General features: G+C 42.6%; 1 long non-coding RNA gene and 1 pseudogene across 1 annotated transcript in view; both read right to left on the bottom strand.

Annotated features, from left to right (window-relative positions):
* Positions 1 to 13,545, bottom strand: part of LINC01411 (long intergenic non-protein coding RNA 1411) — a 190,786-nt gene that overhangs the window by 34,842 nt on the left and 142,399 nt on the right. The gene's annotated exons all lie outside the window — the stretch shown is intronic.
* Positions 11,574 to 12,355, bottom strand: LOC724105 (cysteine rich transmembrane module containing 1 pseudogene; annotated as a pseudogene).

The following is a 13,545-nucleotide window of genomic DNA, read 5'->3' as shown; positions in this document are numbered from 1 at the left end:
TATTCTCAGTAAATCAAAATTGAATGTTCTTATTAGTGGAAGAAATACACATAATAGACCTGAATGTTGAGCTGCAGCCACACACGGGAGGATCTGGAGAGAGTGTTCCAGAGGACAGAGAGGCATTCTCTGTTGACTCAGCCTCACGGCTTCCTGTTCCACAAGCTGATCAGGTCTCAGGCTCCCAGCAGCTCTGACCCCTTCTGAATGGGTATGCCCATGGTTAAGAACAAGGCCTTGGGGTTCGACATACCTAGGTTAGAATCCTGGTTCTGTTGTTTACCAGCTGGGAAACATGCAGCAAGTGTCTTCCCCTCTCTGAGCTTCCAGCATTGAGGTTTGAGAACATGCATGTAAAATACTTTGCAGATAGTAGATGGCAGGGGCTCACTTATGTATTTGTTAATGCAATAGATACTTATGGAGTGCTGATCACAGCACAGGCTGTGCCATGTGATGGGGACCATGCCAGAAAAAGGTAGGCATGGTCTCTGGTCTCACTTGAGCTTAAATCTAGTAGAGGAGAGAGACATTAAACAGGCAAATATAGAAATTATAAATTGTGCTAAATGCTGCAATAAGAACACAACACTCTGCAGCCTGACCCAGATGGGTCAGAACTCCCTGACCAAAGAGGAGCAGAAAGAACCGGGTGAAGGTGGGAGGGGTGCTTTCTGCAAGGGAGGATGGTGGCTGCAAATGTCTGGAACTGGAAGGGGCAGGAAGGGATTAGCTCAAAGGGTGCCCGTGTGTTAATAGGCATTGAGCAAGACAGAAGGCACAGCAAGAGGTGAGGCTGAGAGGCAGGCAGGGAGCTTGTTCATGCCTTCACCACCACATTAAGAAGGTTACCTTTTGCAATGAATGCAATGGGCACCACCGGAAGTGTCTAAACAGGGGAGCCACTTCATCCAGTTCCTGTTTTTAAGTGTTGGGGAGAGATATTCCATCGATGCAATGGTAGCCTTCAAGTATGATGCCTGACAGGCTCTCTGAGAGGCCACCAGATAGAAAAGCCGATGGACCAAATGAAGATGCTCAAACTGTGGAGTTTCTGGAACACATCTAAAGCATACAGTGAGACGCAAGGGGAAGGAGGTAGGGCTGGTTAACACACTTAGGATACGCTGCTGTGGGTGCAAGGACCACACTGCCCCATTCCTGTGTCACGCAGTGTTCCTATGTCCTGTCTCTCTTGCTGCCATGTCAGTTCCCATAAACTTTCCCTGTTGATGGGCCTCTATTTCCATATAGCCAGCAGGCCCTTCAATGAGTTATAAGCAACAGCGACCCATTCTCTTCCTGTTCCCGTGGTTACATCTACTTCCTCATTCCCACCTGTTGCCTGGATGACTTTTGTGAAAAGGACAGAAGTGGAAGGGTCATTCCTCACATTGCAGAACTGTCTTTGGCACCTTTCCATCGTATGGCTTCTGGGGAAAAAGATAATCTTTGGCACCTTTCCATCGTTTGGCTTCTGGGGAAAAAAATAAATCTCCAATATGGAGCCTGGTGTGGTGGTTGATGCCTGTAATCTCAGCTACTCAGGAGGCTGAGGCAGGAGGATTGAGTGAGCTCAGGAGTTGGAGGCTGCAGTGAGCTATGATTGCATTATTGCACTCCAGCCTGGGCAGTAGAGCAAGACCCTGTCTATAAGTAAAAAACAAATCTCAAATATGTGTCCTAGCCTTATGTTTTCTTTTTTTTTTCATGTAAAAAGGACAAAGTGAATTAAATGTTGAGTTCCTAAATTGTCATTGGTTGAATAGTTTTAAGCAACATCAGGAATGAGACACATCATCTGGCCTTGAGAGCCAGACTTAAGTTGGGATCACTGAGAGGGCAGGGAGGTAACCTCCCCTGCCTCACCCGAGCAGCACACATGCTTTTTCTTGTTAGGAAGGCTCTTCCTTGGCAGGCTCCCTCGGCCCTGCTGCTGCCTCTGCAGGTGCCACTATCCTGGTGGACATTGCCATTCATTGAGTCAGGCCAGCTGCCTTCTGCATTTATGGGACTCCCAAGCTGATTCCAATAGAAGGGGACTCCCCACACTGGTGTCAAGATTCTGTGCCTCTGCAGCTGCAATTCCAACAGCTTATGGTGCCTACACCTCCGTCACTCTGTCCTCCTGAGAATTATCTCTACTGTGTCCTCACTCAGGCCTGGTTATCTCGATATCCCCGCACCGCCCCCCCGCGCCCCCGGCCCAGTTTCCTCTTTCTCTCCATCAGGGCAAAAATGAGGTCAGTATGTCAGGATCAGATCATTCAGGGTTTGGACCTTATGCACAAATCAAAGGTATGTGCCTCATGTCTGATATTTCTAGCCTAACATCACCTTCTTGTGAGGATAAAATGAAACAAAACTACATACAAGAAAGTTCACCATGAAGCATCTGGCACACAGTAGATGCGTGGCCAATGGTAGCTATTGTTAATTTAAGTCTTGGATTTAACACATCCTGTCATAGATTCCTTGCTAGGTTTATGATGATATTCTACAAAATTAGGACTGGAGGAGTAAGATGGAAAGGGTCATTTGCAAATGATTTTGAAAGTTCAGGAAAGGCGTTTGCAACTAGGCCTTTCCACCATGCTCAGCATTAGGCCAGCCGCCAGGTGTTGTGTGACATTTGGAGTCCCTGGGGCTCGCACCCCTCTTTGCAATACCTTCTCTATAGCTCAAGGATAACATTCAACAACCTGGAGCTAAGATAGTGGAACTATAGCCCACAGTAACGTGAAAAGGAGCGTTTAGGGTCTTTCCCTGAGTCCTGAGATCTAGTCACTCAGTAGCCACTTATTCCCAGGAAACACTGGCCTGTGAACTCTGATCTAATAGAAACACAGCCTGTTGGCCGCTGTCATCCCTGATGCCCTTGTGACTATAGTATTACTCAGACAGGTTCACAGCACATAGGATGCATTCAGAAAATATTCAATGAATAAATGAATAAATGCTCTCAAATGGCATAAAAATAAGTGAGCTTGGCTTATGGAGCAGATAGGGCAGGCATCTAAGTGTAGGCTCCTACCAGCAACCACATACTGTCTATAAAATGTCTACCTCTAAAATTGTAGCACATCCCTCATGCCAGATGCTATGCTAAGCGTTGTGTGTGTGTCACACTTAGGAAGAGAAATTTCCCAGCCACACCTGCCAGGGTGAAGCACTTTCACCCATTCCCTCTACCCCTTTACTCCTGGCCAAGCACCTCCTGCACCCTCCTCCTTCCTACCACTGCAGGGTGGAAGTTGGACAAGGACGGGAAGGATGTAGACAAAGGCTTCAGGGTATCTTTGCAGCATACGCAGCTCTTAGGGGAGGCTGGCTGGGAAATGGCTGCCCAGCCTGCCGAGAGGCGAGACGGAGGCATACTGGAATGGAAGGAAAGCCAATGCAAATCCTGCAGGTCTGAGGCTGCTTGAAGGTGATTTGCGAGGCCGACTGCACTGGAGCTGAAGACTACGTGTGTGTGTGTGTGTGTGTGTGTGTGTGTGTGTGTGTGTGTGTGTGTGCACGCATGCAAGAATCCTGCCTATACAAACACAGCAACCAGCCAGAGGCAGGCGGATGTGCTGTTGATACAGTAAAGAACGTGGGAATCCACGGCTGTCATGCTGGGTTCACAGCCCAGCTCTCCTCATCCTGTGGCCTTGGGAAACCTACTGTTTCTCTCAGAGCTCAGTCTTGTCATCTGTATACTACGGTTCAAATGTATAACTTGAGATACTGCAGTAATAGTTGTATTTTAGACACTGGCCTCTGGGCAACCTTCCTGAGTCTGAAGTTGCAACTTCCTTTAATTTTTTTTTTTTTTTTTGAGATGGAATCTCACTCTGTCGCCCAGGCTGGAGTGCAGTGGCACGATCTCGGCTCACTGCAACCTCCACCTCCTGGGTTCAAGCGATTCTCCTGCCTGAGCTTCCTGAGTAGCTAGGACTACAGGCACATACCACCACACCTGGCTAATTTTTGTATTTTTAGTAGAGACGGGGTTTCACCATATTGACCAGGCTGGTCTCGAACTCCTGACCTTGTGATCTGCCCGCCTCTGCCTCCCAAAGTGTTGGGATTACAGGCATGAGCCACAGCCCCCAGACTAATTTTTTTATACTTTTAAAAAACAACAATAACAAAAAATTAGAATAGATTGAGATTTACAGGACAATTACAAAGACAGTACAGAGCATTCCCACGGACTCCACAGCCGGTTTCTCCTATTAGTAGTATATTACCTTACTTAGTATGGCACAATTTTCACAACCAAGGGGCTGACATTGATACTTTATTAGTAATTAATGCCTCTACTTTATTCGAATTTCTTTAGTTTTTATCTAATGTCCTTTTTCTCTTCCAGGATCTCATTTAGAGACACCACATTACATTGAATCATCCATCTCCTTAGGCTTTTGTCGGCCATGGTAGTTTCTCCGACTTTCCTCATTTGTGGTGATCTTGACAGCTTTCAGGAGTACTGGTCAGGTATTTTGCAGAATGTCACTCGATTGGGATTTAGCTGATGTTTTCTCATTGTTAAAGTTACATTGTGAGTTTTGGGGAAGTCCATGGAAGTGAAGTGCCATTTTCATCACATCATATCAGGGGCGTACACTAGCAACATGATTTATCACTGTGGATGTTGACTTTGATCATCTGGCTGAGGCGCTATTTGTCAAGTTTCTCAATGGTGGAGTCACCTCCCGTCCTTCCTCCCCTTCTGTACCACAGTCTTTGGAAGGAAGTCACTGTGGCACTGACGCTAAAGGAGTGAGAGTTATACCCCACCTCCTTGAGAGTAGATTATCGGTCTTCTCATCTATAACCTCCCACTCAATAGTGAGAAACCTACCATCATTCACCATCCGTTTATTTAATTGTCCAATTTAGGTACCCGTGTAAAGTGGCTTCAGAACTGTCAACCTGTACCTCCATGGGAAACAATTTATTAACTAGAGTACAGCGCTTATGTGCAGTTCCTTTTGCCATTCGTTTTACAGATTCCACTCATTTCTGAAGTTACATAAATCAGCCCCTTTATTTCTCCACCCTCTTCAGTGAGATCGTTTCATACATTTAAAATGCAGTTAGATTCTTTTGTCACAATCTGCATTCCATCCTGGGATTGTCAAACCTCCTAAATGATTTTTTTTTTAAGCTTACATGCATTAAGGTTCATTGTTTCTGTTACAAAGTTTCCTTCCTTCCTTCCTTCTTTTCTTTCTTTCTTTCTTTCCTCCTTCTTTTCTTTCTTTGCTTTTCTTTTCTTTCTCTCTTTCTCTCTTTCTTTTTTTCTTTTTTGAGATGGAGTTTCGCTCTTGTTGCCCAGGCTAGAGTGCAATGGTACAATCTCGGCTCACTGCAACCTCTGCCTCCCGGGTTCAAGAGATTCTCCTGCCTCAGCCTCCCGAGTAGCTGGGATTACAGGCATGCACCATCACACCTGGCTAATTTTGTATTTTTAGTAGAGATGGGGTTTCTCCATGTTGGTCAGGCTGGTCTCGAACTCCTGACCTTATTGATCCACTGGCCTCGGCTTCCCAAAGTGCTGAGATGATAGGCGTGAGCCACCGCACCCGGCTGAAGGTTTTGACAAAGGCACAGTATGATGTGTCCATCCTTGAAGTGCTATATAGAACAGTTTCACCACTCTAAAAAGTCTCCCATGCTTCATCTATTCAATCCTCTCTCAAACGCCCGAACAACTGATCTGCTTATCATTTCTATAGTTTCTCTTTTCTACAATGTTTATAAATGGAATCATATAGTATGTAGCCTTTTTAGTTTTTTTTAACTAAACAATATATCTTTCAGAGTCATCCATGTCTTTGCTTAACTTAATAGTTAATTCCTGTTCATTGCTGAATAGTATCCCATTGCATGGGTGTACCACAGTTTGCTTATCCATTCACCTATTGATGGACACCTTGATTGCTGCCAGAATTTGGTAATGATTACAGAAGTTGCTTTAAACATATGTGTTCAGGTTTTGGTTAAGTTTTCAAATCAGTTGGGTAAATAGCTAGGAGGAGGATTGCTGGATCTTATGTGCTGCAGTTACTTTTAATCTCTTTTCCCCGACATAACATTTAAATGAATGAAGCATTTCTTTTTCCCCATCTCTAATTTAATGGAATCTGCACAGAAGCCCTTGTGAGGTAGGTGAATCCAGTACAGTTCTTGGCTCAGATACCAGAAACTGATACTTATGAATTCAATGAATTCAAGCAGACAAGGAAATGGAGTGATATTCAGAGCTCACAACATCAATGGTAAGACTGGACAGCCTGGCATGGAAAAGGAGGGACTATAGGAAACTAGCAGTGGCAGGACCTCACAAAGTTTTTATATGAACAGCTTGGTTAAGACGTTGCTGCCACAGGCCACTGAATGGCACTGATGATGTTGCCAGAATTGGTCTTAATTAGTCCAGTATCTTCAGGTCACACTCCCTTAAAAGTCAAAATCCTAGGCAGGGACATCTGATTGACCAAACCTGGACTCCAAGAACTGACATTAAATATGAGAAGAGCAATTACACACTATTCATGCTTCTACTCACCCTGGTAGAAGGATATGGAGCCACAAAGTGAAAGTAGTTTAATTCCCCAAAGATCATGTAGAGGAGAGTCAGTTGCTCCACCCCATACATATCAGCAAGGAAATTTCTACAGTGATGAGCCATTACGTGCTAAAGTCTATTTGTTACAGCAGCTCTGCCTACCCTTACTATTCAAGAAGCCAGATTGCAGAGGGCACAGAAGACTTGAAACCAGGATTAGGGGCATGCACTTCATGCAGGATCCAGAGGAGTGTTTTAAGATGGGAAGTTCAAACTGCAGGCTTGAAATGAAGCTGAGGTGGGTGGATTGCCTGAGATCAGGAGTTTGAGACCAGCCTGGCCAACATGACAAAATCCCATCTCTACTAAATATACAAAAATTAGCTGGGTGTGGTGGAGGGCACCTATAATCCCAGCTATTCAGGAGGCTGAGGCAGGAGAATCACTTGAGCCCAGGAGGCTGAGGTTGCAGTAAACCAAGATCGTGCCACTGCACTCCAGCCTGGGCCACAAGAGCAAAACTCCATCTCAGAAAGAAAAAAAAAAAGAAAGAAAGAAAGAAAGGAAAAGAAAAGAGAAGAAAGAAAAAGAAAACAAGAAAAGAAATGTGAGCAGAAATACCTGACTGGGACTTGGTCTTGAGAGAAAAGGCTAAAGCTCAGGTACTAAGTCTGGGGTCTAAAATCTGAGAAAGAGCAAGAGTCAGGCTGACCCACTATTTCAGAATTTCTTATAATTTACCTTTCTAAGATGAGACATAACCTTTCAGTGGCTATTGAGTTGCTCAGCTAAAAAGTTTTTTCGGAATAGGGATATAAAGCCTAGTGTGGAAGGCTGAAAAGTAGCCCCCTAAACACATCAGGTCCTAATCTCTGGAACCTATAAATGTTACCTTATAGGGAAATAGAGGATCTTTGAGGATATGATTAACTTAAAGATTTTGAGATGGAGAGATTATCCAGATGGGCTCTAAAAGCAATCTCAAGTGTCCTTCTAAGAGAGAGGAAGAGGTGGATGACACACACAGAGGAAGCCATGTGACAATAGAGGCAAAGATGGGAGTGCTGCAGCCACAAGCCAAGGAATGCTGGCAGCTGCAGAAGCTGGAAGAGTGAGGAATGGATTCACCCCTAGGGCCTTTGGAAGCTCTTGACTTCAGCCTAGTGATACTGATTTTGGACTTCAGGGCTCCATAACTACAAGAGAATACATTTCTATTGTTTTAAGCCATCTTGTTTGTAGTAATATGTTACAGAAACCATAAGAAACTAAAACAACCAGGAAATTACAGTAGGGAAGGCTAAAATGGATATAGTAGAAAGAGTGGGTGCTTTGGATAAAAGTAGAACTCAAATCAAATCCCTCCTGGTATGACCTTGGGCAATAATAGTAAACCAGCATGGGAAATACATATGCAGCCACTCGCCCTCCTATGCCAAAGCAAATGTGGCTCATCGATACCAGCATTTTTTCCCAGATATGAGCTCAGAATATATTTCAGCACAGGTCTCTTGACAACCATAAGAAATGACATGTGATATTAAACTCAGTGACTATTCCTGTAATTACACTAACCATTATTCATTGGGTACCTACTATATGCCAGGTATTTTAAATAAAAATATACTTAATTGTCCCAACAAATTGAGGAGACAGTTTTCTTCTTTACCTTGGTTTACAGACAAGATAATCATATATCAGAGTTGAACTGGCATTTCCTGAGGCACAAAGCTATAAAGAAACAGGATGGGCATTCAAAGCCAGGTCTCCCTGACTCCAAATCCCATTCCACTACCAGACTCAACCAGACACTTGGATTTTCTGAGCCACAGTTTCCTCGTCTGTAAAATGGGGCTGCTGATCTCCACCTGGAAAAGCACATTTGAGGGTTGAGTGAGATCATTAAAAAAGACAGCGACCCCAGCAGACTGTTGTCTGGCACAATGCTGCACGGGCTAATGTTAGCAATCCAGGCCTCTTTACTGCAGTGCAACGGAGACAGGTCGGGCCTCAGTTGGTGTAGCATAAAGCCCTGACCTGGCGGCTGTTGGAAACTCAGCCCATTCCTTGACACACCTCAATCCCACAGCTTGGTCTTTTTTCTCTGGAGGGACCACACCTAGAGCCAGGGAGCAACAGGGTCACAGTGACCTGGGCCAGAATACTCTATAAGGTCAACATGAGCCAGGACAAGGAATTAGAATTACAAAACCAACAGTCTTTTAACCAGGATCTAACTAAGGACCAGTCACAGGGAGGACATCAACAGTGTGGAAGTGAACAGCATTTTGATCTGTTCTCCCTGGACTCTCTGGGGGCTCTTCTCCCATTGTGGGGAGGCAGATTGAATCAGAGGAAACAGCAGGCCATCAGCACCAAAGAACCCTGGGTTCAAATCCTGGCCTTCCTTACCTACTGGCTGAGTTGTCTTGGATGCACTTTTTTACCTCCCCAGGCTTCAGTTTCCTTACCTGTAAGATGGGGGTACGAATCCCAACATGCCATGTGGATCAAATGGATTAGTGCAGGCAACGGAGTAGATGCTCAATCAGTGTCAATTCCCCTTATTTTACCCGTTCCCCCAAGTCCATGCCTGAGCCTGCTTGCAGAGCACCCTCCTTCCTGGAAACTCTCCAGCTAGATTCCAGCAGCAAGTCTAGGGTCCACTGGGAAGGGCAGTAACATCCTGGGCAGGCAGGTGCTGTCCTGGGAGGAAGGAACCATGGAGATGGCAGGGCCTCCTAACAAGTTCTAGTCCCGAGAGGCTCACTCACAGCTCTCTCTCTGTAGAACGGGGGTGGGAGGGAAAGGAGTTAGGCACAGCCCTGCAAACCTAGTCTCAAGCAGATAAAATATAAATTGCATCTTCTAAGGAAAAAGAGTGCAGTCACCTTTGTATTTTGGTATCAACAATGTATGAACAGCAGGCTCTGGGCACAACAGGAAACCTACACCCACGCTACTCCTTTATCGCAGTTCTTCTCTTGGCAAATAATTACTCTCCCTGCAGGCACCCGCGTGCGAGCCTTCTAATTATACCATTGTTCAGTTTCATGTCAGCTGAACAATAAATCAAATGTGGACCAAGATGTCTGATCAAAATGTGCTGGGGAGTAAACGGTGGGAAGCACATGACATTAGTGACGGTACTGGGAATGGGGGCATCATCTTTCTTCCTAAGCTTTGTTTTGAGACAGGCTTCCTTTTTCTCTGTTAATCCTGTTAACGTTGAGACTGTAACCTGGACCCCGAGTGACCCAGATCACCCTACCTCTGAAATGGACAGAACTGCGTTCACTATCATTTCCCATCAAGGGACTGTGAGAGGGTTTGATTAATGAACGACTATAAAATGCTAGCAAATATATAGCAAAAAGAAATACTAGCAAATATATATATTTATAGCAAATATATATAGTAAAATACTAGCAAATATAGCAAATCTTAATGAATAATTTCTCAACAACTTTTTCCTTAGTGGCATTTGGCTTTCTTCTCTGAATTTTTGCTCCCATCAAAAGCCAAGTTCCTCATCAGCGAAAGAAAGAGGGCAGTGTTTATTTTAATATTTTATTTTAATATTTTGATTTATTTTATATTTAACAGTTTTTAAGGTTTAATTAAAAAAGTTATATATGTTTAATGTGTACAAACTGATGTTTTTATATACACACACACACACACACACACACACACAGGGAAATAATCACCACAATCACCACAATTAACACACCCATCACCTCACTAATTCCCTTTTTCTTTTTTCCTTTCTTCCTCCCTTCCTCCCTTCCCTCTCTTCCCTTCCTTCCCTTCCTTCTTTCCTTCCTTCCTTCTTTCCCTCCTTCCTTCCTTTCTTCCTTCTTTCCCTGCTTTAAGGTGAGGATACGTAAGATTGACCCTCTTAGCAAATTTCAAGTATACAGTATGGTATTGCTAACTATAGTCACCACACTGTACATTAGATCTCCAGAACTTATTTATCCTGCAGAACTGAAACTACACTTTGACCAACATCTCCCTCGCCTTTCAGCCCCTGGCAAGCACCATTTGACTCTCTGTTCCTATGAGTTTCACTTTTTTGGATTCCACATATAAGTGGGATCATGTAATATTTGTCTTTCTGTGTCTGGCTTACTTCATTTCGCATAATGTTCTCTAAGTTCATCCATGTTGTCACAAGTGGCAAAATTTCCTTCTTTTTAAAGGCTAAATAATATCCCATAGTAGAAATATACCACAATTTTTTTTATCCATTCATCCATCCAGGGGCATTTGGGTGTTTCCATATCTTGGTGATCGTGAACAATGCTGCAATGAGCACAGAAGTGCATGCTTCTCTGAGATCCTGATTTTATTTTTTTTGGATGTATACCCAGAAGTGGGATCATATGGTAGTTTTACTGCTAACTTTTGGTGAAAACTCCATACTGTTTTTTATAATGGTTGTACCACTTTAAATCCCTATAAAAATGTACAAGGGTTCTCTTTTCTCCACATCCTCACCAACACTTTTGTCTTTTTTGATAGTAGAGCCATCCTTGCAGGTGTGAGGTGATATGTCATTGTGTTTTGATTTGCATTTTCCTGATGTTGAGCACATTTTCATTTCCATGCTGACCATTTGTATGCCTTCTTTTGAGACATACAAATACACCACATCATACACAAAAATAAACTCAAAATGAAGTTTTGACCTGAAACTGTAAAACTACTGAAGAAAGTACAGAAAAAAGCCTTCTTGACATTGCTGATGGCAATGATTTTTTGGATATGACACCAACAGAACAGGAAACAAAAGCAAAAATAAACAAATGGGAAATATCTATTCAGATCTTTTGCTCATTTTCAAATTGGGTTATTTGTTTTCTTGCTACTGAGTTGTATGAGTTCCCTATGCGTTTTGCATATTAACTCCTTATCAGATATATGATTTGCAAATATTTTCTCCCATTTCATAGGTTGCCTTTCCACTTTGTTGATTCTTTTCTTTCTTTCTTTTTTTTTTTTTTTTTTGAGGTTTGAACAAATTTATTGAAACCTACAGGGTGTAAGCAGAGAAATCATTCATGGTGTGTTACATTTTGCCACTACCTTGAATGTATAATTACAAAATTATAAATACATTTTCCACAACTAAGCCTTTGTCCAAAAAAAGTCACTTAGCACATTTTTAAAGGTCAGTAAGAAATGGATTTTGGACATTAAAGAGATCAAGTCACTGAATTTAACAGCAGCAGCCCTCACTAATCTAGAATCCCATAGTGCCGAAGGTGTATGAGCTAGTCATTTATTACAGCAATCAGAAGAGACAGGGGCAGGCACATCTATCGGAGGTGGTGGCAGAGCTGGCAGGAGAGGATGGCTGGGCTGGTCAGGTGAGCATGTCCTGGAGACAGCAGCAACAGAAAGCAGTCCAGCAGGCTGTGAGGCAGGTGGATGGTTCCAACTCATGTCTTCTTTGGTCTTCTACCACATACACTGTGGTTTTAGGAGGCTCCCGAGGTCTGTCCTGCCAGCTGTACTGTGGGTATCTTTGTATCCTTGATAGGTGTATCCTTGAAGAGGTGGGTAGGGCCCCCTCCCATAGGTCCTGGGCCCATGTGTTTTTGTGGATAAGGTGGGTATGGGGCTGATGGACCAGGGCCTGGATGTGGTGGAGGGTTCTCTTTGTTCATCAGGGACCTGTAAAGTGCACCTCTCCTCTCCATGAACTGGCCGGGTAGTGGTTGGGTTGGAACCTGAGGAGACCAGACCAGCCCAGAGTAGACTCACTGCACCTGCCTCGAAGCAAGTAATGAGCCACCATGTGACAGAAGCTTTTTAGTTTGATACAATCCCATTTGTTTATTTTTCGGTTTGTTTCCTCTTCTGTTGGTGTTATGTCCAAAAAATCGTTGCCATCACCAATGTCAAGAAGCATTTTTTCTGTACTTTCTTCTAGTAGTTTTACAGTTTCATGTCTTCATGTCAAAGTCTTTAATCTATTTTGAGTTTATTTTTGTATGTGATGTGAGATAAGGGTCTAATTTTATTCTGTGTATGACTATCCAGTTTTTCTAATGACATTTATTGAAGATACTATCCTTTCCCCATTGTGTCCTCTTGCCATCCTTGTCAAAGATCAGTTAGCTGTAAATATATGGATTTATTTCTGGTCTCTTTGTTTTGTTACATTGGTCTACATGTCTGTTTTTATGCCAGTACCATATTGTTTTGATTACTATAGCTTTGTAATATATTTTGAAATGAGGAAGTGTGATGCCTCTGGTGTTTTTTTGTTTTTTTGTTTTTTGTTTTCTTTTTTTGTCCCTCAAGATTGCTTTGGATATGGGTAGTCTTTTGTGGTTCCATTTGAACTTTATGATAGCTTTTTTTTATTAATGTAAAAATGCCATTGGGGTTTTGATAGAGATTGAATTAAATCTGTATGTTTCTTCGGGCACTATGGGCATTTTAAAGATTTTAATTATTCCAATCCATGAACATGGGATGTCTATCCATCTCTATGTCTCCCTTAGTTTCTTTCATCAATGGTTTATAACTTTCAGTGTACAAGTCTTTCACCTCTTTAGTTAACTTTATCCTAAGTATTTTATTCTTTTTGTTGCTATTGTAAATAGAATTGTTTTCCTAATTTCATTTTTGGATAGTTTGTTATTAGCATATAGAAATGCCACTGATTTTTGCAATTTGACTTTTTATACTGCAGAGTTACTGAATTTGTTTATTAGTTTTAATAATTTTTTTGTATGGAGTCTTTAGGATTCTCTACATATATGATCATGTCACCTTTAAGAGGAGACAATTTTACTTATTTCTTTTCAATTTGGATAGCTTTTATTTCTTTTTCTTGTCTGATTGTTCTGGCTAGAACTTCCAGTATTATGTTGAATGGAAGTGGTAAGGTTGATCATCCTTGCTTTGCTTCATATCTGAGATAAAAAGCTTTCAAATTTTCCCCATCCATTATTATGTTAGCTGTG

Source organism: Homo sapiens, chromosome 5 (assembly GCF_000001405.40).
Source record: "Homo sapiens chromosome 5, GRCh38.p14 Primary Assembly".
In the NCBI taxonomy this organism is placed as follows: Eukaryota; Metazoa; Chordata; class Mammalia; order Primates; family Hominidae; genus Homo; species Homo sapiens.
This window is presented reverse-complemented; position numbering and strand designations above follow the sequence as displayed.